At 50.5% G+C, this 25,594-nt stretch overlaps 1 protein-coding gene, 1 long non-coding RNA gene and 1 pseudogene across 3 annotated transcripts, besides 10 other annotated features; 1 reads left to right on the forward strand and 2 right to left on the reverse strand.

The window, feature by feature from the left end:
- On the reverse strand, window positions 1-25,338 carry LOC124905123 (uncharacterized). Of its 2 annotated transcripts, XR_007068110.1 has the most exons (3): window positions 25,151-25,338; window positions 21,016-21,185; window positions 1-1,373 (listed from the first exon to the last, which is right to left on the reverse strand). It is a non-coding gene; the product is annotated as an uncharacterized LOC124905123 (long non-coding RNA). The 2 variants fall into 2 exon arrangements; XR_007068109.1 differs by having other exon boundaries at window positions 1,192-1,373; window positions 21,016-25,338.
- Window positions 5,227-5,742: an enhancer, noted in NCBI's record as "H3K4me1 hESC enhancer chr22:41060823-41061338 (GRCh37/hg19 assembly coordinates)". NCBI's record gives its function as "activates a minimal SCP1, AML or CMV promoter by ChIP-STARR-seq in naive H9 embryonic stem cells {active_cell/tissue: H9 hESC(naive)}" and the evidence as "EXISTENCE:reporter gene assay evidence [ECO:0000049][PMID:30033119]".
- GAPDHP37 (glyceraldehyde 3 phosphate dehydrogenase pseudogene 37) lies at window positions 13,697-14,930 on the reverse strand (annotated as a pseudogene).
- Window positions 16,406-16,906: an enhancer, noted in NCBI's record as "H3K27ac hESC enhancer chr22:41072002-41072502 (GRCh37/hg19 assembly coordinates)". NCBI's record gives its function as "activates a minimal SCP1, AML or CMV promoter by ChIP-STARR-seq in naive H9 embryonic stem cells {active_cell/tissue: H9 hESC(naive)}" and the evidence as "EXISTENCE:reporter gene assay evidence [ECO:0000049][PMID:30033119]".
- MCHR1 (melanin concentrating hormone receptor 1) lies at window positions 19,892-23,220 on the forward strand. Its single transcript, NM_005297.4, has 2 exons — window positions 19,892-20,142; window positions 21,357-23,220. The coding sequence occupies exons 1-2, from the start codon at window positions 20,061-20,063 to the stop codon at window positions 22,334-22,336; spliced, it is 1,062 nt and encodes a 353-aa protein (NP_005288.4). The 5' UTR covers window positions 19,892-20,060; the 3' UTR covers window positions 22,337-23,220.
- Window positions 19,919-20,612: an enhancer, noted in NCBI's record as "H3K27ac-H3K4me1 hESC enhancer chr22:41075515-41076208 (GRCh37/hg19 assembly coordinates)". NCBI's record gives its function as "activates a minimal SCP1, AML or CMV promoter by ChIP-STARR-seq in primed H9 embryonic stem cells {active_cell/tissue: H9 hESC(primed)}" and the evidence as "EXISTENCE:reporter gene assay evidence [ECO:0000049][PMID:30033119]".
- Window positions 21,035-21,989: an enhancer, noted in NCBI's record as "H3K27ac-H3K4me1 hESC enhancer chr22:41076631-41077585 (GRCh37/hg19 assembly coordinates)". NCBI's record gives its function as "activates a minimal SCP1, AML or CMV promoter by ChIP-STARR-seq in primed H9 embryonic stem cells {active_cell/tissue: H9 hESC(primed)}" and the evidence as "EXISTENCE:reporter gene assay evidence [ECO:0000049][PMID:30033119]".
- Window positions 21,990-22,943: an enhancer, noted in NCBI's record as "H3K27ac-H3K4me1 hESC enhancer chr22:41077586-41078539 (GRCh37/hg19 assembly coordinates)". NCBI's record gives its function as "activates a minimal SCP1, AML or CMV promoter by ChIP-STARR-seq in naive and primed H9 embryonic stem cells {active_cell/tissue: H9 hESC(naive and primed)}" and the evidence as "EXISTENCE:reporter gene assay evidence [ECO:0000049][PMID:30033119]".
- Window positions 23,513-23,807: a silencer, noted in NCBI's record as "tiled region #5578; K562 Repressive DNase matched - State 12:CtcfO". NCBI's record gives its function as "represses a minimal TATA promoter and a strong SV40 promoter by Sharpr-MPRA in K562 cells {active_cell/tissue: K562}" and the evidence as "EXISTENCE:reporter gene assay evidence [ECO:0000049][PMID:27701403]".
- Window positions 23,513-23,827: a biological region, named in NCBI's record as "Sharpr-MPRA regulatory regions 5578 and 9058".
- Window positions 23,533-23,827: a silencer, noted in NCBI's record as "tiled region #9058; K562 Repressive DNase unmatched - State 12:CtcfO". NCBI's record gives its function as "represses a minimal TATA promoter and a strong SV40 promoter by Sharpr-MPRA in K562 cells {active_cell/tissue: K562}" and the evidence as "EXISTENCE:reporter gene assay evidence [ECO:0000049][PMID:27701403]".
- Window positions 24,105-24,800: an enhancer, noted in NCBI's record as "NANOG-H3K27ac-H3K4me1 hESC enhancer chr22:41079701-41080396 (GRCh37/hg19 assembly coordinates)". NCBI's record gives its function as "activates a minimal SCP1, AML or CMV promoter by ChIP-STARR-seq in naive H9 embryonic stem cells {active_cell/tissue: H9 hESC(naive)}" and the evidence as "EXISTENCE:reporter gene assay evidence [ECO:0000049][PMID:30033119]".
- Window positions 24,801-25,496: an enhancer, noted in NCBI's record as "H3K27ac-H3K4me1 hESC enhancer chr22:41080397-41081092 (GRCh37/hg19 assembly coordinates)". NCBI's record gives its function as "activates a minimal SCP1, AML or CMV promoter by ChIP-STARR-seq in naive H9 embryonic stem cells {active_cell/tissue: H9 hESC(naive)}" and the evidence as "EXISTENCE:reporter gene assay evidence [ECO:0000049][PMID:30033119]".

The raw sequence follows: 25,594 nt of genomic DNA on the forward strand, positions 1-25,594 counted from the left end.
TAATTTATAAAGAAAAGAGGTTTAATTGGCTCATGGTTCTGCAGGCTGTAGAGGAAGTATGTTGCTGATATCTGCTTGGTTTCTGCTGAGGCCTCAGAAAGCTTGCAATCATGGCAGAAGGTAAAGGGGGAGCAGGCACGTCACATGGCAAGAGTGGGAGCAAGAGAGAGGGAGGAGGTCCCAGACTTTTTTTTTTTTTTTTTTTTTTGGAGACAGAGTCACACTCTGTCGCTCAGGCTGGAGTGCAGTGGCGCGATCTTGACTCACTGCAACCTCCGCCTCTTGGGTTCAAGTGATTCTCCTGCCTTAGCCTCCCGAGTAGCTGGGACTATAGGTGTGTGCCATCACACCCAGCTGATTTTTTGTATTTATTTATTTATTTATTTATGAGATGGAGTCTTGCACGGTCACCCAGGCTGGAGTGCAGTAGCGTGATCTTGGCTCACTGCAAGCTCTACCTCCCAGGTTCAAGTGATTCTCCTGCCTCAGCTTCCTGAGTAGCTGGGACTACAGGCGCCTGCCACCATGCCCGGCTAATTTTTTGTGCTTTTTAGTAGAGACAGGGTTTCACCATGTTAGCCAAGATGGTCTCGATCTCCTGACCTTGTGTTCCACCCGTCTCGGCCTCCCAATGTGCTGGGATTACAGGTGTGAGCCACTGCGCCCAGCCTAATTTTTTGTATTTTAATAGAGATGGGGTTTCACCATGTTGCCCAGGGTGATCTCGAACTCCTGAGCTTAGGCAATCCGCCCACCTCGTCTTCCCAAAATGCTAGGATTACAAGTGTGAGCCACCGCACCTGGCCAAGGTCCCAGACTTTTAAACAAGCAGCTCTCATGTGAAGTAACTGAGTGAGAAGTCACTCATCACCAAGGGGATAGTGCTAAACCATTCATAAGGGATCTGCCGCCATGATCCGATCACCTCCCAGCAGGCCCCACCTCCGAGACCGGGAGACACATTTCAGAATGAAACGGCGTACGTCTGTAGTCCCAGCCACTAGGGACAGGGAGCTGGGGTGGGACTGAGGCAGGAGAATGGCTTGAACCTGGGAGGCAGACGTTGGAGTGAGCCGAGATCGTGCCACTGCACTCCATCCTGGGCAACAGAGCAAGACCCCATCTAAAAAAACACAAAAAACATTTTAGTGGCTCCCAGTTGCTTTCAAAATAAATAACCCCTTAACAGAGTTTGTAGTAAACATTGTATTTTTTTTGGTTGCTCATAAGTTGATCCCCCAGAAAACCAAGACTTTGAGAAATTCACTGGGAAGGGAAATACCGGTGCCTCTGAACAGTCCCTGGTGAGAGCTGCCAGCGGGGACGGCAGCAGCTGAAGTGGGCTTCCTCATTTCACTGGGGATGTGTAGAGCCTGCAGTGATAGAAAGCAAGTTGCAGCACTTACTTAATTTCTGGAGGAGAGTGAATGTGGTTATTGTAATAGGCAGGGCCAGTGGAGTTACCCAGATGGTCTGATCTGCAGAGATTGATTTGGCTAATTGACCATGGAGTCTGTGGAACCAAAATATATAAACAGCACATCCACTAAGTTGCTACTTGATGTGTGTACGTGAAAAACTTCAGGCTTGGTCAACAGAGATCTGACTTTAGCCACCGTGATTGAGAGCACAGTCTCTCACCCAATTTCCAAACCTGAGTCAGCCCTTGTTCCAGAAGTCCTGGAAGAAGTAAAAGCTGGATACCTGCAAGAAAGGACCCTGCAATTCCACAAGTACGGGCTGGGAATCTGCCTCTAGCCTTCCCCAGGAGTATCTGAGACCATCTACCAGGGAACTATACACAATGAAAAGATTAATACCAGACCTTTGATTTTTGTTTCCTCTTTTTTGAGAGGGAGTCTCGCTCTGTTGCCCAGGATGGAGTGCAGTGGCCTGATCTCGGCTCACTGCAACCTCTGCCTTCCAGGTTCAAGCAATTATCCTGCCTCAGCCTCCTCAGTAGCTGGGATTACAGGTGCCCACCACCACACCTGGCTAATTTTTGTATTTTTAGTAGAGACAGCGTTTCACCATGTTGGCCAGGCTGGTCTCAAACTCCTGACCTCAGGTGACCCTCCCGCCTCAGCCTCCCAAAGTCCTGGGATTATAGACGTGAGCCACCACGCCCGGCCTAGTATGGTAATTCTGTATTTAGTTTTTGGAGGAACCTTGCCTCAGCTTTTAAACTGGGATTGCACTCTTCTTGGGGTGGTTCCCAGTCACTGACTAGGCAGAGCTGTGGTACAGGGCCCAGCCATTTCTGCCTAATGTTGGACTGCTTTCCTCTGAAGCTTCCTGCTGGGCTGGCACTTTGCTTGGAAGGAGAAACAGCCAGATGTGCAATTATATACTGATTCATGGGCTGTAGTCCATGGATTGGCGGGTGGTGAGGGACTTGGAAGAAACATGATTGGAAAATTGGTGGCAAAGAAATTTGGGAAAGATGTATGTGGATAGACTGCTCGGAGTGGGCCGAAGATGTGAAGATATTTGTGTCCCATGTGAATGCTCACTAAAGGGTGCCCTCAGCAGAGGAGAATTTTAATAATCAAGTGCATAGGATGAACCATTCTGTGGATACCAGTCAGCCCCTTTCCCTAGCTACCCCTGTCATTCTCCAGTGGGCTCATGAACAAAGTGACCATGGTGACAGGGATGGAGGTTAAGCATGGGCTCAGCAACATGGGCTCCACTCACCAAGGTCAACCTGGCTATGGCCACCACTCAGTGCCCAATCTGCCAGCAGCCAAGACCTACAGGGAGCCCCCACTAGGACGCCATTCCCCAGTGTGGTCAGCCAGCTACGTGGTGGCAGGTTGATTACGCTGGACGACTTCCATCATAGAAGGGGTAGGGTTTTGTCCTTATTGGAACACACACTTACTCTGAATAAGGACTTACCTGCCCTGCACGCAATGCTTCTGGCAAAACTAGCATGTGTGGGCTTGTGGGATGTCTTATCCACCATTATGGTATTCTACACAGCATTGCTTCTGACCAAGGAACCCACTTGACAGTCAAATAAGTAAGGTAGTGGGCTCATGCTCATGGAATTCGCTGGTGCTACCATGTCCCCCACCATCCTGAAGCAGCTGGCTTAATAGAATGGTGGAATGGCCTTTTGAAGTTGCAGTTGCAGCACTGGGTAGGTGGCAATACTTTGCAGGATTCATTAATTATTAATTTATTTATTAATTTAAGATTTTTTTTCAATGATCAAAAAGTTGAAATGAGGCCGGGCGCAGTGGCTCATACCTGTAATCCCAGCATTTTGGGAGGCTGAGGCGGGGGGATCACCTGAGGTCAGGAGTTCAAGACTAGCCTGGCAAACATGGTGAAACCCCATCTCTACTAAGAATACAAAAATTAGGCTGGGCGCGGTGGCTCACGCCTATAATCTCAGCACTTTGGGAGGCTGAGGCAGGGGGATCACAAGGTCAAGAGATCAAGACCATGCTGGCCAACATGGTAAAACCCCGTCTCTATTAAAAATACTAAAATTAGCTGGGTGTGGTGGTGCGCACCTGTAGTCCCAGCTACTTGGGAGGCTGAGACAGGAGAATCACTTGAACCCAGGAGGCGGAGGTTGCAATGAACCGAGATCACGCCACTGCACTCCAGCCTGGGCAAAAGAGCAAAACTCTATCTAAAAAAAAAAAAAAAAAAAAAAAAAGTTGGCTGGCTGCGGTGGCTCACACCTCTAATCCCAGCACATTGGGAGACTGAGGCAGGAGGATCACCTGAGGCCAGGAGACCAGCCTGGCCAATATGGTGAAAGCCCGTCTCTACTAAAAATACAAAAATTAGCCAGGCGTGGTGGCAGGCGCCTGTAATCCAGCTACTCCGGAGGCCGAGACAGGAGAATCACTTGAACAGGGAAGGCAGAGGCTGCAGTGAGCCAAGATTGCGCCACTGCATTCCAGCTTGTGTGACAGAGTGAGACTGCATATCAAAAAAAAAAAAATGTTGAAATATATGGATGGTTTTTTGGTTTGCTTTTGTTTTTGAGACCAAGCCTCACTCTGCTGCCCAGCCTGCAGTGCAGTGGCACGATCATGACTCGTTGCAGCCCTGAACTCCTGGGCTCAAGGGATTCTCCTGCCTTAGCCTCTTAAGTAGCTGGGACTACAGGCACATACCACCATGCCTGGCTAATTTTTTAATTATTCGTTTGTAGAGACGGGGGTCTTACTATATTGCTCAGGCTGGTCTTGAACTCCTGGGCTCCAGTGAGCTTCCCGCCTCAGCCTCCCAAAGTGCTGGGATTACAGGCATGAGCCACCAAGCCCAGCCTAAGAATTGTGAATTTTACATCATACTATTCAAGTTACGGAATAATCACAGTAAATATCACTCAAGAACTTTACCTCCTCTTCTGGGAGACCGGATTAGTGTGTTTTCAGTTGTGCACAGGGTAATTGTTTCATTTAGGCAGAATTATGACCTTGTCACTGTCTTTACTTGAGGAGATTAAGTATGGTTTAAGGAGATGTTTATGGATGCCAAGCTGACAAGGAGTGGACTTGCCATGGGTAGTATTAGGTGTCAACTTGACTGGATTGAGGGATGCCTAGTTGGCTGGTGAAACATTGTTGCTGGATGCGCCTGTGAGGGTGTTTTCAGAGGAGTTTTTTTTTTTTTTTTTTTTTTTTTTTTTGAGACAGAGTCTCCCTGTGTCTCCAGGTTGGAGTGCAATGGCATGATCTTGGCTCACTGCAACCTTTGCCTCCTGGATTCAAGTGATTCTCATGTCTCAGCCTCCCAAGTAGCTGGGATTACAGGTGCCTGCTACCATGCCTGGCTAGTTTTTTTTTTTTTTTTTTTGAGACAGAGTCTCACTCTGTCGCCCAGGCTGGTGTGCAGTGGCACGATCTCAGCTCACTGCAAGCTCTGTCTCCCGGGTTCACGCCATTCTCCTGCCTCAGCCTCCCGAGTAGCTGGAACTACAGGCGCCCGCCACCACGCCCGGCTAATTTTTTTGTATTTTTAGTAGAGACGGGGTTTCACCATGTTAGCCAGCATGGTCTCTATCTCCTGACCTGATCCACCCGCCTTGGCCTCCCAAAGTGCTGGGATTACAGGCGTGAGCCACCGCGCCCAGCGCCTGGCTAGTTTTTGTATTTTTAGTAAAGATGGGGTTTCACCATGTTGGTCAGGCTGGTCTCAACCTCCTGACCTCAGGTGATCCACCCCCCGCGGCCTCCCAAAGTGCTGGATTACAGGCGTGAGCCATGGCGTCCAGCCCAGAGGAGATTGATGTATGCTTCAGTGGACTGAGAGAGGAAGACCCGCCCTCAGTGTGGGTGGGCACCATCCCATCTGCTGCCCACCCCCGACCCCATTCCACCACTAGGACAAAGCAGGCAGAAGAGTGGGGATACTCAGCTCATGCTCTCCCTCCTGGAGCTGGCTGCCTCTATCTCCTCCTGCCCTTGGAAAACAAGACTCCAGGTTCTTCAGCTCTTGGAATCTGGAACTTGCACCAGCAGCCTCGTGGGGGCTCTGAGGCCTTTGGTCTCAGACTGGAGGCTGCACTGTTTGCTTGGCTGGTTCTGAGTCTGTTAAATTTGGACTGAGCCTCAGTACTGGCTTCTCTGGTTCTCCAGCTTGCAGACAGCCCCTTGTAGGACTTTGCCTCTGTAATTGCGTGACCCAGTTCCCTCTAATAAATCCCCTTTCATATATATCTTATTGCCTCTGTCCCTCTGGAGAAACCCTGACTAATACAGACACTTATGTTAACTCCATAACTTGGCTATTGTGAGTAATGCTGCAATAAACATGGGATACAGATATCTTCTTGAGATACTGATTTCATTTTCTTTGGATATAGACTCAGAAGTGGGATTGCTGAATAATATGGTAATTCTATTTTTGGATTTTGGAGAAGCCTTGTTTCAGCTTCTGAGCTGGGATCACACGCTTCTTGGGTTGGTTCCCAGCCACCGACTAGGCAGGGCTGTGGTGCCAGGGCCTGGCCACTTCTGCCTAATGTTGGACTGCCTTGCTCTGGGGCTTCCCACTGGGCTGGCAGAGCCCTTGTCAGGTCAGCATCACAATCTCTGGACCCCTTCCCGATGTGCTTCCCTTCTTCCTTGGCCAGCGCTCACCCCACAGACACATTTGGTACTCCTCTCTCCACCCCAGCATCTGCTCCCAGAAAACCCAACCTGTGGCACTTCACTTCATCTATTAAATGAGATGAGAAAGAAAAGCAACTTTTCAGCCAGGCATGGTGGCTCACACCTGTAATCCCAGCACTTTGGGAGGCTGAGACGTGTGGATCATTTGAGGTCAGGAGTTCAAGACCAGTCTACCAATATGGTGAAACCCCATCTCTACTAAAAATACAAACAGTTAGCCGGGTGTTGGCCGGGCACAGTAGCTCATGCCTGTAATCCCAACACTTTGGGAGGCTGAGGCGGGTGGATCACCTGAGGTCAGGAGTTCAAGACCAGCCTGGCCAACATGGTGAAACCCTGTCTCTACTAAAAATACAAAAATTAGCCAGGAGTGGTGGTGCGTGCCTGTAATCTCAGCTACTTGGGAGGCTGAGGCAGGAGAATCACTGAACCCAGAAGGCGGAGGTTGCAGTGAGCCGAGATTGTGCCACTGCACTCCAGTCTGGGCAACAGAGCCAAATAAATAAATAAATAAAAACCACACAATTAGCCGGGCATGGTGGTAGGTACTTGTAGTCCCAGCTTACATGGGAGGCTGGGGCAGGAGAATTACTTGAACCCGGGAAGCAGAAGTTGCAGTGAGGTGAGATCATGCCACTGCATTCCAGCCTGGGCAACAGAGTGAGACCCTGTTTCCAAAAAAAAAAAAAGAAAAGCAACTTTTCATCCTGTTTTCTTTAAAAACTTGAGCCTCTCCTTGGTTCTCTGGAGCACTTCCCAGTGTTTTCCGGGCTGTGAGCCCTCTTTAAATTATCAGGCCCAGAAAGGCATGGAAATGTGACAGCAGTCACGTCTCACTCCCCCTCCAGCTAAGTAATCAGCTCTGGAAGCCACTTGCTGTGTGGGCTCTAGACTGACTGATGCCAAGTAGCCATAAAACACCACACAATGGACACTGTAATTCACTTGCTATAACTCAACAGTGTACAGCTAGTCACTAATCAGTGTTATTTCTTTAACCCAGTGAGCATCCTTGAAACTCAACTTTTGTAATCGCCCCCTCTCCTGATTAATCCTCTTTAAAAACTCAAGCCTCTCTTTGAGCACTTCTCAGTGTTTTCCAAGCTATAATCCTCAACCGTGGCCCAAATCACTCTCTATATTAATTTTGTCTCAGTTTCCTTATCTGGATTGACAGAGGATAACAAAATACCTAGTTGTTGACCAGGCACAGTGGCTCATGCCTGTAATCCCAGCACTTTGGGAGGTGGAGGTGGGTAGATCACTTGAGGCTAGGAGTTCAAGACCAGCCTGACCAACATGGTGAAACCCTGTCTCTACTAAAAATACAAAAATTAACCGGGTGTGTTGGTGCACACTAGTAATCCTAGCTACTTGGAAGGCAGAGGCAGGAGAATTGCATGAACACAGGAGGCAGAGGTTACAGTGAGCTGAGATCGTGCCTCTGCACTCCAGCCTGGGCAATAGAGTAAGACTCTGTTTCCAAAAACAAAAACAAACAAAAAAAAAACCTAGTCATTTCAATAATTAATTACACGATGATATCAACTTGAACGCCTCCTCCTGAATCAGTGGGGCTGATTTTCCATTTGCCCCTTTAAATTCACTTTTCACCCTTTCCACCCTGCCCTGGGCCCCAAGATGCTGACCCTCAAGAACAGCATCAACAGACAGAGGTCAGAGGGCAAGAGGAGAGTGAGGTCAGATTATTTACTCCTTTGGACTGCTCCCTGCCAGGTTACTGCTGATTGGCCGCCTCACTTTTAAAAAAAATTTTATTTTTTGAGACAGCAACTGAGTCTTGCTCTGTTGCCCAGGCTGGAGTGCAGTGGCGCAATCTTAGCTCATTGCAACCTCTGCTTCCCGGGTTCAAGAGGTTCTTGTGCCTCAGCTTCCCAAGAAGCTGGGATTACAGGCACCAGCCACCACACCCGGCTAATTTGTTTATTTTTCTTTTTTTGAGTTAGAGTTTCACTTTTGTTGCCCAGGCTGGAGTGCAATGGCACAATCTCAGCTCCCCGCAACTTCCGCCTCCCAGGTTCAAGCAATTCTCCTGCCTCAGCCTCCCGAGTAGCTAGGGTTACAGGCACGTGCCACCAAACCTAATTTTGTATTTTTAGTAGAGACAGGGTTTCTCCATGTTGGTCAGGCTGGTCTCGAACTCCCGACCTCAGGTGATCTGCCCACCTTGGCCTCCCAAAGTGCTGGGATTACAGGCGTGAGCCACCATTCCGGGCTCCCTCACTTTTTAACTGCTCTTTCTGGATTCTGCTCACTTCTCCCCTTCCCTCAGCCCCCAGGCCTGAGAGCGGCAGTGGCTCTCTGCTGTTCATAGCCCCAGCACACTGCTCAGCATTCCCTGTTGATCTCCCTTAGCTATGCCCAAACCCTGGCAAATAGGCCCTTTACTAAACTCTCCTGCATTTCCCTGTTTGAGTTTGTTCTGTTTCCTTCTGACAACCCGATGGATCCCATCAATGAGGACACTTTCCACTGCTGCAAGTGTTCCCAACTGATATGGTTTGGATTTCTGTCCCTGCCCAAATATCATGTCAAATTGTAATCCCCAGTGTTGGAGGAGTTACCTGGTAGAAGGTGATTGGATCATGGGGGCGGGTTTCCCCCTTGCTGTTCTCGTGATAGTGAGTGCTCATGAAATCTTGTTGTTTAGAAGTGTGTAGCTGGCCGGGTGTGGTGGCTCATGCCTGTAATCCCAGCACTTTGGGAGGCCAAGGCGGGCAGATCACCTGAGGTCAGGAGTTCGAGACCAGCCTGACCAACGTGGTGAAACCCTGTCTCTACTAAACATACAAAAATTAGCCGGGTGTGGTGGCAGGTGCCTGTAATCCCAGCTACTGGGGAGGCTGAGGCAGGAGAATCGCTTGAACCCAGGAGGCGGAGGTTGCAGTGAGCCGAGATCATGCCATTGCACTCCAGCCTGGGCAACAAGAGCGAAACTCCGTCTCAAACAAAAAAAAAAAAAAGAAAAGAAAAGAAGGTATGTAGCACCTTCCCCTTCGCTTGCTTCCTCTTGCTCCTGCCATGTAAGATGACCCTGCTTCCTCACCACCTTCCAACATGATTTTAAGTTTCCTGAGACCTCCACAGCCACGCTTCCTGCCCAGCCTGCAGAACCATGAGCCAATTAAACTTCTTTGCTTTATAAATTACCCAGTCTCAAGGAGTTCTTTATAGCAGTGTGAGAACCAACTAATACACCAGTGTCATGTCCAGGCAAAACAAAGTTCAAAGGGGGCAAAAGAGACAATCTCGTTTTGTATCATCTTTGCAAGAACAAGGAAATCTTTACCAAATGCCTCTCACCACAACACTCCTCCCCTTTACTGTCACTAGTAAGAATGAGTCACATGCTGCTTTAGCCTCCAGTTCCCAGAAAACAGAGCCTGAGACAAAGGGGGTGTGTCGGTATTTTACTGGGAAGAGCGATCCTGGGAATCAGGAAGGAGGGTAGAGGAGCAAAGCAGAGAAGCAGATAGCAACAAAGCAATGATTTCCGGTTGGCCAGGGCTAAAAGTGTTTGGTTGCTCTAACCTATGGGGCTGCTGGGAAGCTACATGAAATATGCCTCAGGATGGTATGTCCTGGGGAATCCTGGGGAAAGTACCTATCCATGGCTTCCACCCTACATTGGTCAAAGGTTCCCCTAAGGAGCATTAACTCTCCCTGCACTTCTGGGTTGTTCATGCGAGGGCACTCCGTGGATTCCCAGATTCTAAGTTGTGGCAGCAACAGAGAAGACCCAAGACAGAGGGTAAAAGGCACACAGCACCGTGAGGTCACAGCTGTATCTGCACCTGTACCTGGACTTTGTTGGGGACTGTGCCAGAGCAGGTCAATGGATGAACTATGAGCTAGGTGTGGTGAAAAGGACCTGAAGAGATGCACATGGGTGTCCAGTAGACATGCTCACCCCTGAAACAGTCACTGGCAAGAGGAATGAGATTGCTGTTGATTCACTGGTTTAAAGTAATCATTTGTAGTAGAATGGGTGTTGAGCATGCTACCTGAATTCTTCAAAGAGGACATCCTTAACTCCCTCTCTAAAAGACCCCTTCACCCCCAGTCACTCTCATCACCCCATCCATTTCCTCAGTGACACTAAAAACAGTCAGTAATCAGCCTGTGTAGCTGGCATTATGGATTGACTTGCTCAGTGTTCACTCCTCCCACCTTCACTCCTACCATTCAAAGGCCAGAGAGCTCAGACCCACCCCTCTCTGCTTCCCTTGCTGCTCAGTCTTGGTTTAAGTTCCTCTGGCCAGGCTCAGTCACTTTGGTAGTGCAGATAATGGCAGGGATGGCCTAACTCCAGAGCCATGATTTTGTGAGTCCCTAAAGCCCTTTGTGATTAAGTTACATGGATTTGTCTGGATTTGAACCCTGAAAAGGACATCTCGTTCACTTATCAGCTTGCTTGTCATTATTTGTCTCTCCCCACTTTAGTTTAAGCTCCCTTATACCAGGCATTTGCTCGTTTTTCCCCACTGTATCCACAGAGCCTAGCACAGTGCCTGGTATGTAGTACATGCTGTGTAATGATTTGTCTGATGGATGAAAGGATGAGTAAATGGAGATGGGAAGACTATGGCATGTGGAAGAGGAGGAGATACTGGACAGTAATGCTCATTTTCCCAAACTGTAAACTTTGGAATGCCCAAGAGCTCAGTCCTCACAACACCTTTATTCACACTCACTCCCTAAGTAAGCACATCCAGTCTCATCAGTTTAAATTTATATCTCTGTGAGCTTTTGAGATTGCTAAATAAAATAAAAAATAAAATGGCAGGGCGCGGTGGCTCACGCCTGTAATCCCAGCGCTTTGGGAGGCCAAGGTGGGAGGATCACAAGGTCAGGAGATCGAGACCATCCTGGCTAACACGGTGAAACCCCATCTCTACTAAAAATACAAAAAATTAGCTGGGCCTGGTGGCAGGCGCCTGTGGTCCCAGCTACTCGGGAGGCTGAGGCAGGAGAATGGCATGAACCCGGGAGTTGGAGCTTGCAGTGAGCCGAGATCACACCACTGCACTCCAGCCTGGGCGACAGAGGAAGACTCCATCTCAAAATAAATAAATAAATAAATAAATAAATAAATAAATAAAATAAACATTTTTTATCTTCAGGCATGACTTCTCCCTTGAACTTCTTTTTTTTTTTTTTTTTTTTTTTTTTTGAGACAGAGTCTCGCTCTGTCGCCCAGGCTGGAGTGCAATGGCCTGATCTTGGCTCACCGCAACCTCCGTCTCCCAGGTTCAAACGATTCTCCTGATTCAGCCTCTTGAGTGGCTGGGATTACAGGCATGCGCCACCACGCCTGGCTAAAACTTCTGACTCTTACATCCAACTGCTAACCACTACTTCCATTAGGAAGTGAATAGACATCTCCAATGTAGCATGTCTAAAACAGAACTTTTTTTTTTTTTTTTTTTTTGAGATTGAGTCTCACTCTGTCGCACAGGCTGGAGTGCAGTGGTGTGATCTCGGCTCACTGCAAGCTCTGCCTCCCGGGTTCATGCCATTCTCCCACCTCAGCCTCCCGAGTAGCTGGGACTACAGGTGCCCGTCACCACCCGGCTAATTTTTTGTATTTTTTTTTTAGTGGAGACGAGGTTTCACCGTGTTAGCCAGGATGGTCTCAATCTCCTAACCTCGTGATTGACCTGCCTTGGCCTCCCAAATTGCTGGGATTACAGGCGTGAGCCACCGCATCTGGCCTAAAACGGAACTTTTTTGTTGTTGTTGAGACGGAATCTTGCTGTGTTGCCAGGCCGGAGTGCAGTGGCACCTTTTTGGCTCACTGCAACCTCTGCCTCCTAGAGGTGGTTCTCATGCCTCAGCTACCTGAGAAAGAGGGAGGAGGTCCCAGATTTTCTTTTTTTTTTTTAAGAGACAGAGTCTCACTCTGTCGCTCAGGCTGTAGTGCAGTGGTGCAATCTCGGCTCACTGCAACCTCCGCCTCCCGTGTTCTAGCGATTCTTCTGCCTCAGCCTCCCGAGTAGCTGGGACTACAGACGCGCGCTGCCACGCCTGGCAAATTTTTTGTGGTTTAGTAGACACAGGTTTCACTGTGTTGCCTAGGCTGGTCTCGAACTCCTGAGCTCAGGCAATCCACCCGCCTCGGCCTCCCAAAATGCTAGGATTACAGGCGTGAGCCACCGTGCCCGGCTGGTAGACATTCTTAAACTTCCCGGGAGAGCCTGGACAAATTGAGCCCCCATTGCCCACAGCAGCAAACTTGGCAATGTACCCTTATCCTGGCTTTTCCTTCTTCCCTGACTCACTCTGTTCCCTGACACCTGCTCCTTAAAATCACATCTAAAATAAACTACTGCACACAAGTCCTTGTTTCAAGCTCTGCTTTTAGAGAAAATCAAATTAAGAAAATTGGTACCAGGAGTGACAGTAGAAAGAAGGGGACCTCCCCCACAACTCCATCCAATTGAGTTTCTGGAATATATCAATTACCAGTCAGAAGCCAACAAGGATTCCATTGCTGGTGGTAAATAGGGGGCTTAACAACCCTGGCCTGGTGTGCAGTAGCATCATATTGACACTCTTACCTGTGGTTGGTTGAAATGAAGTATAAGTGGAAGAGGAAACATTGAACTATGCAGTAGCTCTAGATGTGAACAGTGTGGGAGCTGTGGTAATTATAAGGACTATGGAGTTAGCTGGTTTTTGTTAACTGCTTTGGAAGACTGGAAGAAAAAAATGGCAGACTCTGTGTGCAGTGGCTCACACCTGTAATCCCAGTACTTTGGGAGGCCAAGGTGGGCAGATCCTGGCAGAACCAGGAATTCAAGACCAGCCTAGCCAACATGGTGAAACCCCATCTCTACTAAAATACAAAAATTAGTTGGATATCTGGCAGGTGCCTGTAATCCCAGCTACTCAGGAGGCTGAGGCACAAAAATCACTCGAGCCTGGGAGGTGGAGGTTGCAGTGAGCTGAGATCGGGCCATTGCACTCCAGCCTGGGTGACAGAGGGAGACTCTGTCTCAAAAAAAAAGAAGAGATAAGAAAAAAAAAATGGCAGAGTCAGATAGCCAGCTATCAATTCAGGACATACAACAAAAGCCAGAAGGCCTCCAAAGCAACAATGAGAGACCCTCATCTTCTGCAGCAATAAGGCAGACATTGCTGAGAATAAGACCCAGATTCTAATTGTAAGAGTTGCAGAGGTGCAAGAAAGATGGAATATGGGCAGCCCTAACACATCACCAAAGCCAAAGTCAAGTCCCTGATAGGAAAGGATTGGAACCCTGATGCCTAGCAGGGGACATCTGGGTGTACTTGAGAACACTGAACCCCCAGATTTCTCTGAACCCCCTGAACATTCCAGGCCAGCAAAAGTAACCTTCTCTCCCTTGCTAGAGGAGAGCAGCCTGCCCTTGTCTGGAAGTCATGCTAGGATTCAACTGACTTGCAAGAGGATGTTTTTCCTCAGATATGCTCCTCATTTCCTCTCATTGTTACTTCTCCTGACTCTTAACACTCGCAAGTACAAGGGACTTTTTTTTTTTTTTTGGCAAAGTACAGGGGACTTCATTAATGGTACATGACAAGGTGGGTCTCCGTAGGCCCCACCCTATTCAGGGGTCTGACATGGAAACTGTGTCGAGGGGAGATGCTCAGTGTGGTGGGGGCTGAGCGCAGCAGGGTTCCCCAGCAGCTGAGGGCCCCCCTCTTCCTCTTGTGCTCTCACTGGGATTGGTGGCCTGGGGCTCTTACTCCTTGGAGGCCATGTGGACCATGAGGTTCACCACCCTGTCATACCAGGAAATGAGCTTGACAAAGTCATTGTTGAGGGCAATGCCAGCCCCAGCATTGAAGATGGAAGAATGGGTGTCACTGTCAAAGTCAGAGGAGACGACCTTGTGCTCAGTACAGCCCAGGATGCCCTTGAGGATCTCCCTCAATGCCTGCTTCACCATCCTCTTGATGTCACTGTATTTGGCAGGTTTCTCCAGATGGCAGGTCAGGTCCATGACCAACATGTTGGTGGTGGGGACGTGGAAGGCCACGCCAGTGAGCTTCCCATTCAGCTCGGGGATGACTTTGCCCACAGGCTTGGCAGGAATGATGTTCTAGAGAGCCCTGCAGCCATCACACTACAATTTCCCAGAGGTACCATCAGTAGTCTTCTAGGTGGCACTGAAGGCATGAACTGTGGTCATGAGTCCTTCCATGGTGCCAAAGTTGTCATGGATGACCTTGGCCAGGGGGGTTAAGCAACTGGTGGTGCAGGAGGCATTGCTGATAATCTTGAGGCTGTTTCCATACTTCTCATGATTCACACCCATCACAAACATGGGGGCATCAGAAGGGGCAGAGATGGTGACTCTTTTGGCTCCCCCATCTAAGTAAGTCCCAGCCTTCTCCATGGTAGTGAAGACACTGGTGGGCTCTATAACATAATCAGCACCAGCATCACCTCCTTTGATTTTGGTGGGATCTCATTCCTGGAAGATGGTGATGGGATTTCCACTGGTGACAAGCTTCGCGTTTTCAGCCTGATGGTGCTGTGGAACTTGCCATGGGTGGAATCATACTCGAACATGTAGACCATTTAGCTGAGGTCAATGAAGGGGTCATTGATGGCAACAATATCCATTGTGCTAGAGTTAAAAGCAGCCCTGGTAACCAGGCATCCAATATGTCCAAATCTGTTTACTCCAGCCTTCGCTTTTCCCTTGGTGCCTCAGGGACGCAATTGGTGCTGCATGAGAAGATGCAGCTGTCAGTCGAACAGGAGGAGCAGAGAGCCTGCCATTGCTTCAGACTCAATAACTGGGGCAGGTCTCAGTGTTATAGCTTGGGATGGGAAATACAGCTTCTGCTTTTGGAGAAAATACTTCACCCATGAGGACCAGGACCAGCTAATAAGGACTGGGAGAAATAAAGGGACTATGTGTGGGAGTGGATCTTTTTTTTTTTTGAGAGAGGGTCTTGCTTTGTCACCTATGCTGAAGTGCCATTGTGCAAACACTTCTCTCTACAGCCTCAATCTCCTGGGCTCAAGCAATCCTCCTGCCTCAGACTCCCAAGTAGCTGGGACTATAGTCGCATGTCACCATGCCTGGCTAATTTTTAATTTTTTGTAGAGAAGGCCTCGCTGTGTTGCCCAGGCTGGTCTTGAACTCCTGGGCTCAAGCGATTCTCTCACCTCTACCTCCCACAGTGCTGGGTTACAGGTGAGAGCCACCCCATCTGGCCAGAAGTGGATCTTGAGGGTGCTAGATGATGCAAATATAAGGTTGAAAGGAGAGAGTTTTGGCCAGGCGTGGTGGCTTATGCTTATAATCCCAGCACCTCGAGAGGCCGAGGCAGTAGGATACCTTGAGCTCAGGAGTTCAAGACCAGCTTGGGCAACATAGCAACACCTTGTCTCTACAAAAAATTTTAAAAACCAAAATTAGTTGGGCGTTGTGGCTTGTGCCTATAGTACCAGCTACTCAGGAGGCTGAGGTAGGAGGATCACTTGAACCGGGGAGTCAGAAGTTGCAGTGAGCTGAAATCTCACCACTGCACCCCAGCCTGGGTGACAGAGTGAGCCCCTGTCTCAAATAAAATGAGTAGGCCAGGTGTGGTGGCTCACGCCTGTAATCCCAGTATTTTGGGAGGCTGAGGCTGGTGGATCACTGGAGGCCAGGAGTTTAAGACCAGCCTGGGCAACATAGTGAGACTCCATCTCTGCTAAAATTAGCCGGGCATGGTGGCACATGCTTGTAATCCCAGCTACTCTGGAGGCTGAAGCCAGAGAATCACTTGAACCAGGAGGCAGAGGTTTCAGTGAGCTGAGATCATACCACTGCACTCCAGCCTGGGCGACAGAGCAAGACTCTGTCTCAAATGAAAAAATACATACATAAATTAATTAATTAAAAAAGAAAGGAGACAGTTTATTGACAGGGGAGAACTCTCCTGCAACACAGGATGTAGCTGGAGCCAGTCCTAACATGCTTCTGGGATAGCTCCATGAAATGGTTTACAATAATAAGGTGGGGATGCTGGGATGGCCATTGCAGAGTTTTGGGATTTTTTGTGCATAGTAAAATACACATAAAATTTGCCTCTTCACTTTATATATTGTGGTAGGATATACGTAACATAAAATTTACCATTTTAACCACTTTTAAGTGTCCAATTTAGTGGCATTAAGTACGTTCACAATGTTGTGCAGCCATTATCACTGTCCATTTCTAGAACTTTTTTTTTTTTAAGATGGATTTTCGCTATTGTTGCCCAGGCTGGAGGGTAATGGCACAATCTCAGCTCACTGCAACCCTCACCTCCCGGGTTCAAGCAATTCTCCTGCCTCAGCCTCCTGAGTAGCTGGGACTACAGGCACATGCCACCATGCCCGGCTAATTTTTGTATGCTTAGTAGAGGCAGGGTTTCACCATGCCAGCCAGGCTGGTTTCAAGCTCCTGACCTCAGGTGATCCGCCTGCCTTGGCCTCCCAAAGTGCTGGGATTAGAGGCAAGAGTCACCACACCTGGCCAGCTACACACTTTTAAACAACAAGATCTCATGAGCACTCACTCATTATCACAAAAACAGGAAGGGGGAAATCTGTTCCCATGGTCCAATCACCTCCCACCAAACATGCTTCCTCACTTCCTTAAGGACTTTTCTGGAAGTGCTTCTCAGTGAGGCCTTCCTCTACTGCAAAAAGCTTCCCCTGCCACAAAGAGCTTCTTTTTTTTTGAGACAGAGTCTCGTTCTGTCACCCAGGCTGGAGTGCAGTGGCGTGATCTCAGCTCACTGCAATCTCCACCTCCTGGGTTCAAGCGATTCTCATGCTTCAGCCTCCCAAGTAGCTGGGATTACAGGTGCTTGCCACCACACCTGGCTAATTTTTGTACATTTAGTAGACACAGGGTTTCACCATGTTGGCCAGGCTGGTCTCAAACTCCTGACCTCAGTCAATCCACCCGCCTCAGCCTCCCAAAATGTTGGGATTACAGGCGTGAGCCACTGTGCCCGGCCAAGACTGATCCTTTCAAAACATGTCTGATCATGTCTTTTCTCAGCTGAAAACCCCCTGGTGACTCCCATTTCCCCTAAAGGCAAAGCCAAAGTGCTTATACTGGCTGGCAAGGCCTGGCAGAATCTGCCCTTCCTGCTCCTTCCTCTCTGATGACAGCTCCTGCTAATCTCTACTATAGCCACAGTGCTCTCCAGAGTCACACTGCACACTCCTGCCACAGGGCCTCTGCACTGACAATTTCCATGGCAGGGAATGCTGGTCCTCCAGAATATTTCTTCTTCTTTTTTTTTTTTTTGAGACGGCGTCTCACTCTGTCACCCAGGCTGGAGTGCAATGGCATGATCTCGGCTCACTGCAATTTCCACCTCCCGGGTTCAAGCGATTCTCCTGCCTCAGCCTCCCAAGTAGCTGGGACTACAGGCGCCCGCCACCACGCCCAGCTAATTTTTATATTTTTAATAGAGAGGGGGTTTCACCTTGTTGGCCAGGATTGTCTCGATCTCTTGACATCATGATCCGCCTGCCTCGGCCTCCCAAAGTGCTGGGATTTCAGGCGTGAGCCACTGCGCCCGGCCACTCCAGAATATTTCTAAGCATGCTTCCTCACTTCCTTCAGGACTTTTCTCAGAGAGGCCTTCCTTGATGATCAATCCTCTATAAAATGGTAACCTCCACCTCTCTTGGTATTCCTGGGCCCTCTCACCCTGCTTTAAGTTTTTTACAGCAATTGCCAATATCATAAGTTATCTTTATGTGGAGTATATATTTTTTCTTTTTTTTGAGACGTAGTCTCGCTCTGTCACCCAGGCTGGAGTGCAGTGGCGTGGTCTCGGCTCACTGCAAGCTCCGCCTCCCGGGTTCACGCCATTCTCCTGCCTCAGCCTCCCGAGTAGCTGGGACTACAGGCACCCGCCACCACGCCCGGTTAATTTTTTGTATTTTTTAATAGAGATGGGGTTTCACCATGTTAGCCAGGATGGTCTCGATCTCCTGACCTCGTGATCTGCCAGCCTCGGCCTCCCAAAGTGCTGGTATTACAGGTGTGAGCCACTGCGCCCGGCCATATTTTTTCTTTTTTCTGAGACAGGGTCTTTCTGTGTCGCCCAGGCTGGAGTGCAGTGGCCCAATCTCAGCTCACTTCAATCTCTGCCTCCTGGATTCAGGCGATTCTCCTGCTTCAGCTGCTTAAGTAGCTGGAATTACAGGCAGCTGCCAACATGTCCGGCTAATTTTTGTATTTTTGTAGAGACGGGGTTTCACCATGTTGTCCAGGCTGGTCTTGAACTCCTGAGCTCAAGCAATCCACCCACCTTGGCTTCGCAAAGTGCTGGGATCACAGGCATGAGCCACTGCACCTGGCCCAACCCTGTTCTTCAGAATCACCCTGCACACTTCCTGCCGCACGGCCTTTGCACTGGCGATTTCCACAGCCAGGAATGCTGGTCCTCCAGAATATTTCTAAGCATGGTTCCTCACTTCCTTCAGGACTTTTCTGGAAGCGCTTCTCAGTGAGGTCTTCCTCGATGATCAATCCTATATAAAATAGCAACCTCCACCTCTGCTGGTATTCAGGGGCCAGCTCACCCTGCTTTAAGTTTTTCATAGTAATTGCCAATACCATGAATTGTCTTTTGAGGGGTTTTCTGTCTCCCCGCAACTTGAATGCAATCTTCATGAGGACAGGGACTTTATCCCCCACCCCACCCCCACTTTTTTTTCTTTTTTTTTTACTGCAAAACCTAGAACAGTGCTTGGCAGGTAGTAAGTACTCAATGAATGTTTGTTGGATGAACCCAATAAGTAAACAAGATAGAGGACACATGTAGGGATCTGCCCGTGAACCTCGACCCCTGGCTCCTGAGTCTGGCAGTGGGTGCAGTGGCAGCTCCTGTCTGTGAGGGCCCCAGAGGCTGGCAGCAGGATGCCTCCGTGGAAAATTCCCTTAACGCCTTTGCCTCTGCAGCTGTTCCTCCGGGATGATCTCTTTGGGGGATCATGCTCAGATATTTGTCTCAAAGAGTCCCAGGCCAAACCTCAGGGACCTCAGAGCGTTTAGAAAAATAACACCTCTGTGAGCTTGGTCCAGGCAGATCCCATGCAGAGAGGAGTTTGTCCCCTTCCAGTCCCCGAGGTCCTGGCTATTGCCAGCATGGAGTGACCTGTGTCACCTCTGAGTGCCAGGCAAGGGTTCAGCAGCTGACGACTCAGCTTCTGCAGGATGCTGGCAGCATAGCCAGCGAGATAGTTGGAAGCCGTCAGGGCACAGGGAAGGGGCCGAGGGTGCCCTGAGTGTGCATGGGGGGCAGCCCTGCTGCAGTCCAAGCCTTTGATTCCCAAGCTATGTGCACAGTTTCCTCTGGACTCTGCCATGTGGCCCAGCCACCCATACCTGGAATAGGGGCTAAGCCAAGCTGCTCTCTCCTCCAAAGGGAGGCAGCCTGTGTGCTTTGTCCGTTTGCCTTTGCAGAGACCTCGATCTTCACGCAAGGCAAGCAGCAGCCCCTGTAAGCACACGAGACAATCCCAAGTGTCAGTGGGAAGGAGATCCCTTTCCTGATGGGGCTGCCTGTGTCCAGTCCCTCCCAGCTTCCCCAGGGCCCTGGGGCTCTGCAGGCATTCAGAAGTGGAAGCCAGCCACAGCCTGGGACTGAAGAGGTTAATGTGCATCTGCCTCCGAATGTTAATGTGTCTAGGTGATGTCAGTGGGAGCCATGAAGAAGGGAGTGGGGAGGGCAGTTGGGCTTGGAGGCGGCAGCGGCTGCCAGGCTACGGAGGAAGACCCCCTTCCCAACTGCGGGGCTTGCGCTCCGGGACAAGGTGGCAGGCGCTGGAGGCTGCCGCAGCCTGCGTGGGTGGAGGGGAGCTCAGCTCGGTTGTGGGAGCAGGCGACCGGCACTGGCTGGATGGACCTGGAAGCCTCGCTGCTGCCCACTGGTCCCAACGCCAGCAACACCTCTGATGGCCCCGATAACCTCACTTCGGCAGGTGAGTTGACTGGGAGCCCTCCCTCCTCTGGGCTGTGGGTGGAAAATGGGAAGGTTTCACCCCTGAGCCAAACTGCTTGGGAAACTTTATCACAGTTCTTGGGGACAAGATCTGTGGTCTGCTTTGCTCTGAGGGGCAGGAGAAAAGGGGGCAATGGTCCGCAGGGGCAGACGGGCAGGAGCAGAGCAGGGGGCGAAGGCATATTCAGAATGGCAAGGAAGGGGGGCCAGCCGTGAGACAGCAGGGGAAGGCTCGCTGCTGGGTTCCAAAGATGCTTGGCAGAAAAAATTCCAGGCTGGAAAAGCAAGCGAGAGAAGCTGGAGGGTGGTATGTGGGAGACAGCTGGGGGCTCACTCCTGCACTGTTAGCCTCAGCTTTTTACTCCCACTTGGATGATGAGGTCTGAGACATCCTTACTGCCACCTGGGAGAGGCCCTGGGAAGGGAAGACTTCACAGAGCCATGAGGGGATTAACTTTTCTGGTGAATTAAGCTTCCTGACATTTCCAGAGCTGCGGTGCCCTGGGATTCCAGCTTTGAAGGAGAAAGGAAGGAAGGAAAAGAGGAAAGGCTTATGTAGATAATTTTTCCAGGCTGCTGAGCTCCAACAGACAGTTTCTGTCTCTGCTTCACTCAAGAAGCCCAGGCTCAGAAGATACCAATCAAGGAAATCCCCGCTAGGAAGCCTGGGGTAGGGAGAGCTGCTGGCTTGACCAGGGCACAGCCGGCAAAAGCCTCTACAAGACAGTCACCCACAGATATGCCCAAGAATCAGTACACAGTTTCCAACCAGAGATCTCCAAAATGAAACACTCAGGGCTACACATAGGAAAAGCACGCACACACACACACACACACATACACAGACACTTACTTTTGTGTCCTTCTGGCTATGCTGACGAGTTTTCCTGGTGAAGCCCGGGGCTCACAGAGTAATCTCTGCAGACAACTGTGGTTCTTGCCTCTGGTGCCTGCAGGAGGCAGGCATGTTGTGTCCTTCCAAGACAGATGGCTCAGGGCACTCTGGTAGGATTCACCAGGAAACTCATGGAGAAGGGAAAAGGGACAAGATTAGCAACAGTGAAGGGAGGGAGAATGGTGGGAGAGGATTCCAGATGAACGGTGGGTCGCTGGAGGCTGAGCATGCCAGCAGGATGTCAGTTCTCAGAGCAAAGCCCATGTCAAACAGCCAACGCTTGCTCCTTCTGTCCCCAGGATCACCTCCTCGCACGGGGAGCATCTCCTACATCAACATCATCATGCCTTCGGTGTTCGGCACCATCTGCCTCCTGGGCATCATCGGGAACTCCACGGTCATCTTCGCGGTCGTGAAGAAGTCCAAGCTGCACTGGTGCAACAACGTCCCCGACATCTTCATCATCAACCTCTCGGTAGTAGATCTCCTCTTTCTCCTGGGCATGCCCTTCATGATCCACCAGCTCATGGGCAATGGGGTGTGGCACTTTGGGGAGACCATGTGCACCCTCATCACGGCCATGGATGCCAATAGTCAGTTCACCAGCACCTACATCCTGACCGCCATGGCCATTGACCGCTACCTGGCCACTGTCCACCCCATCTCTTCCACGAAGTTCCGGAAGCCCTCTGTGGCCACCCTGGTGATCTGCCTCCTGTGGGCCCTCTCCTTCATCAGCATCACCCCTGTGTGGCTGTATGCCAGACTCATCCCCTTCCCAGGAGGTGCAGTGGGCTGCGGCATACGCCTGCCCAACCCAGACACTGACCTCTACTGGTTCACCCTGTACCAGTTTTTCCTGGCCTTTGCCCTGCCTTTTGTGGTCATCACAGCCGCATACGTGAGGATCCTGCAGCGCATGACGTCCTCAGTGGCCCCCGCCTCCCAGCGCAGCATCCGGCTGCGGACAAAGAGGGTGACCCGCACAGCCATCGCCATCTGTCTGGTCTTCTTTGTGTGCTGGGCACCCTACTATGTGCTACAGCTGACCCAGTTGTCCATCAGCCGCCCGACCCTCACCTTTGTCTACTTATACAATGCGGCCATCAGCTTGGGCTATGCCAACAGCTGCCTCAACCCCTTTGTGTACATCGTGCTCTGTGAGACGTTCCGCAAACGCTTGGTCCTGTCGGTGAAGCCTGCAGCCCAGGGGCAGCTTCGCGCTGTCAGCAACGCTCAGACGGCTGACGAGGAGAGGACAGAAAGCAAAGGCACCTGATACTTCCCCTGCCACCCTGCACACCTCCAAGTCAGGGCACCACAACACGCCACCGGGAGAGATGCTGAGAAAAACCCAAGACCGCTCGGGAAATGCAGGAAGGCCGGGTTGTGAGGGGTTGTTGCAATGAAATAAATACATTCCATGGGGCTCACACGTTGCTGGGGAGGCCTGGAGTCAGGTTTGGGGTTTTCAGATATCAGAAATCCCCTTGGGGGAGCAGGATGAGACCTTTGGATAGAACAGAAGCTGAGCAAGAGAACATGTTGGTTTGGATAACCGGTTGCACTATATCTGTGAGCTCTCAAATGTCTTCTTCCCAAGGCAAGAGGTGGAAGGGTACTGACTGGGTTTGTTTAAAGTCAGGCAGGGCTGGAGTGAGCAGCCAGGGCCATGTTGCACAAGGCCTGAGAGACGGGAAAGGGCCCGATCGCTCTTTCCCGCCTCTCACTGGTGCGATGGAAGGTGGCCTTTCTCCCAAGCTGGTGGATAATGAAAAATAAAGCATCCCATCTCTCGGCGTTCCAGCATCCTGTCAATTTCCCTTTTGCTCTAGAGGATGCATGTTTATTTGAGGGGATGTGGCACTGAGCCCACAGGAGTAAAAGCCCAGTTTGCTAGGAGGTCTGCTTACTGAAAACAAGGAGACCTGGGGTGGGTGTGGTTGGGGGTCTTAAAACTAATAAAAGCTGGGGTCGGGGGGCTTTTGCAGCTCTGGTGACATTCTCTCCACGGGGCACATTTGCTCAGTCACTAATCCAGCTTGAGTGTCCGTGTGTTCTGCATGTGCAGGGGTCATTCTAGTGCCCGGTGTGTTGGCATCATCTTTTTGCTCTAGCCCTTCCTCTCCAAAATAAAATCAAATAAAGGAAAATCTCCACCCACATCACTCTGGATGTTCTTGTGGACTTGGGGGTGGGTGTGGGCTGGGGCGGGGAAGGTGGGCAGCAGAAAAGAGAAAGAGGGGTCACTTGGTTGTGGAATTTAGATCTTGGTTCATGCTGCATTTTTAGGAAGCATGAAGCAGGGATCTGTTTTTCTGAACCCACAGGGAGGATTCAGTGGCATAAATGGAATTACTGGGGATTCATTAGATTTTGCAGTTCTGCTGCTGGGCTTGTTCTTGGGACTCAGCTTCCTGTCTTCTGCACAAAATCCCCTGGGCTTTGTTGTCATCAGTGATGAGTCCTCAGGCCCCAAGTCCCAACCCCCACTCCCCCGCCTCAACCCTCACCCCCGCTGAGTCACCAGCCGCAGAGCCAGCTCTTAGGGCAGCTGAAGCCTCTCTGCTTTCTACAGCTGAGATCTGGTGTGGGCACCTTGAACAGAAGATTACAGCCGGGGCCACTGGGAGGCAGCCACGACTGCTGCTTGGCTGCTGCTTCTTGGTGTCTTCACTGAGAGGGGACTGGGAGCCGTCAGTGCAGTGCTCAGCAGACCTTACTGAGAGAGCGGGAGAAAGCTGCAAGCATCCTGAAAGCAGGGGCAGCAGCACAGCCTGTTCCTCTTCAGAGCTGCAGCAGGGAGCCTCTTCAGAAAACTTCTGGGCAGCTTCCTTGGGTCCTGGGGACTTTTTTTTTGAGACAGAGTATCGCTCTGTCGCCCAGGCTGAAGTGCAGTGGTGTGATCTCTGCTCACTGCAAGCTCCGCCTCCCGGGTTCACACCATTCTCCTGCCTCAGCCTCCCGAGTAGCTGGGACTGCAGGCATCCGCCACCACGCCCGGCTAATTTTTGTATTTTTAGTAAAGACGGGGTTTCACCATGTTAGCCAGGATGGTCTCGATCTCCTAACCTCATGATCTGCCTGCCTCGGCCTCCCAAGGTGCTGAGACTGCAGGCGTAAGCCACCGTGCCCGGCTTTTTTTTTTTTTTTTTTTTTTGGACACAGGGCCTTGCCCTGTTGCCCAGGCTGTAGTGCAGGTGACATGATCACAGCTCACTGCAGCCTCGACCTCCCAGATTCAAGCAATCCTCCCACCTCAGCCTCCCAAGTAGCTGGGACCACAGGCGCACACCATCATGCCTGGCTAATTTTTTATATTTTGTAGAGACAGGATCTTGCCATGTTGCCCAGGCTGGTCTCAAACTCCTGGGCCCAAACAATCCTCCCACCTTGGCCTCGTGGAATGCTGGGATTACAGGCTTGAGCCACCACATCCGGCCCCTGGGGAGCTCTTTATCACAATCATTAGTATTTCCTGGCCTGTGTTCCCCTCCACCCAGCACCTGGGGAGTAAAGAAGCTGATGGTTATTTTCCTTACTCACTAACAGTAGGGTCTCCAGCTGCCACCCGTAACTTGAAATCTATTTTAGACGCACACTCAATAAAAGAAGATTCTGGCCAGGCGCGACGGCTCACACCTGTAATCCCAGCACTTTGGGAGGCCGAGGCAGGTGGATCACCTGAGGTCAGGAGTTCGAGACCAGCCTGGCCAACATGGTGAAACCTCATCTGTACTAAAAATACAAAAATTAGCCAGGCATGGTGGCACGTGCTTGTAGTCCCAGCTACTTGGGAGGCTGAGACAGGAGAACCACTTGAACCCAGGAGGCAGAGGTTGCAGTGAGCCGAGATTGCACCATTGCCCTCCAGCCTGGGCAACAAGAGCGAAAACTCCATTTAAAAAAAAAGAAAAAAAGAAAGAAAAAGAAAAAAGGATTCTTAGGGAAGCCTTGAGGCAAATCCAAAAAGACCCAATTCCTAGCCACAAACGTGATAAAAGGAGGTCTTCCTGCATCGGGTTTGTCTACTGGAAGGCTTCCCTGGGTGTCCATCAGCCCCAGCCCCTGCCTGCTCCTCACTCCCTCTCACCTTCCAGCACTCCAAGGAGGAATCCCAGAGAGGAAACAAGTGAGACGGCCTCTCCCAGGGAATGCACATCACCAAGTCAACAGCTCACAGTGGGTGGGTGGGTAGGCACACGCCCAGCGAAAGCCCCAGCAGCTCCTGGGGAAGGGGGCATCCTGTCCTTCAGCTCTTAACCCCACACTGAAACAACTGAAATGGAAGCAGAGTGGGTGGAGTCATGAAAGTGGGTGGGTAGCAATGTAAACCTTCCGGAGGGGAGAGGCGGAGGGGAGAGATGAGTTAGGGAGAACAGGTGGTCGAGGGGAGAAGTGGGGCAGGGAGGCTTAAAGGGTGGGGGATTACGATGGGAGCTGCCACCACCACATCTCTCCCCAGCCTGATTCCGCGGTAACCGGGACACACTTGCGATGTGGATGAGGGGAAGCACAGGCAGAGGTGAGCGCTGGG

The sequence above is a fragment of the Homo sapiens genome, chromosome 22 (genome assembly GCF_000001405.40).
Source record: "Homo sapiens chromosome 22, GRCh38.p14 Primary Assembly".
NCBI classification, from domain to species: Eukaryota; Metazoa; Chordata; class Mammalia; order Primates; family Hominidae; genus Homo; species Homo sapiens.

Bases quoted from the DNA above. Each gene is read 5' to 3' on its own strand.
- MCHR1 (NM_005297.4), top strand. From the start codon at position 20,061: ATGGACCTGGAAGCCTCGCTGCTGCCCACTGGTCCCAACGCCAGCAAC. The intron at 20,143-21,356 runs GTGAGTTGACTG...TTCTGTCCCCAG, and splicing joins CGATAACCTCACTTCGGCAG to GATCACCTCCTCGCACGGGG.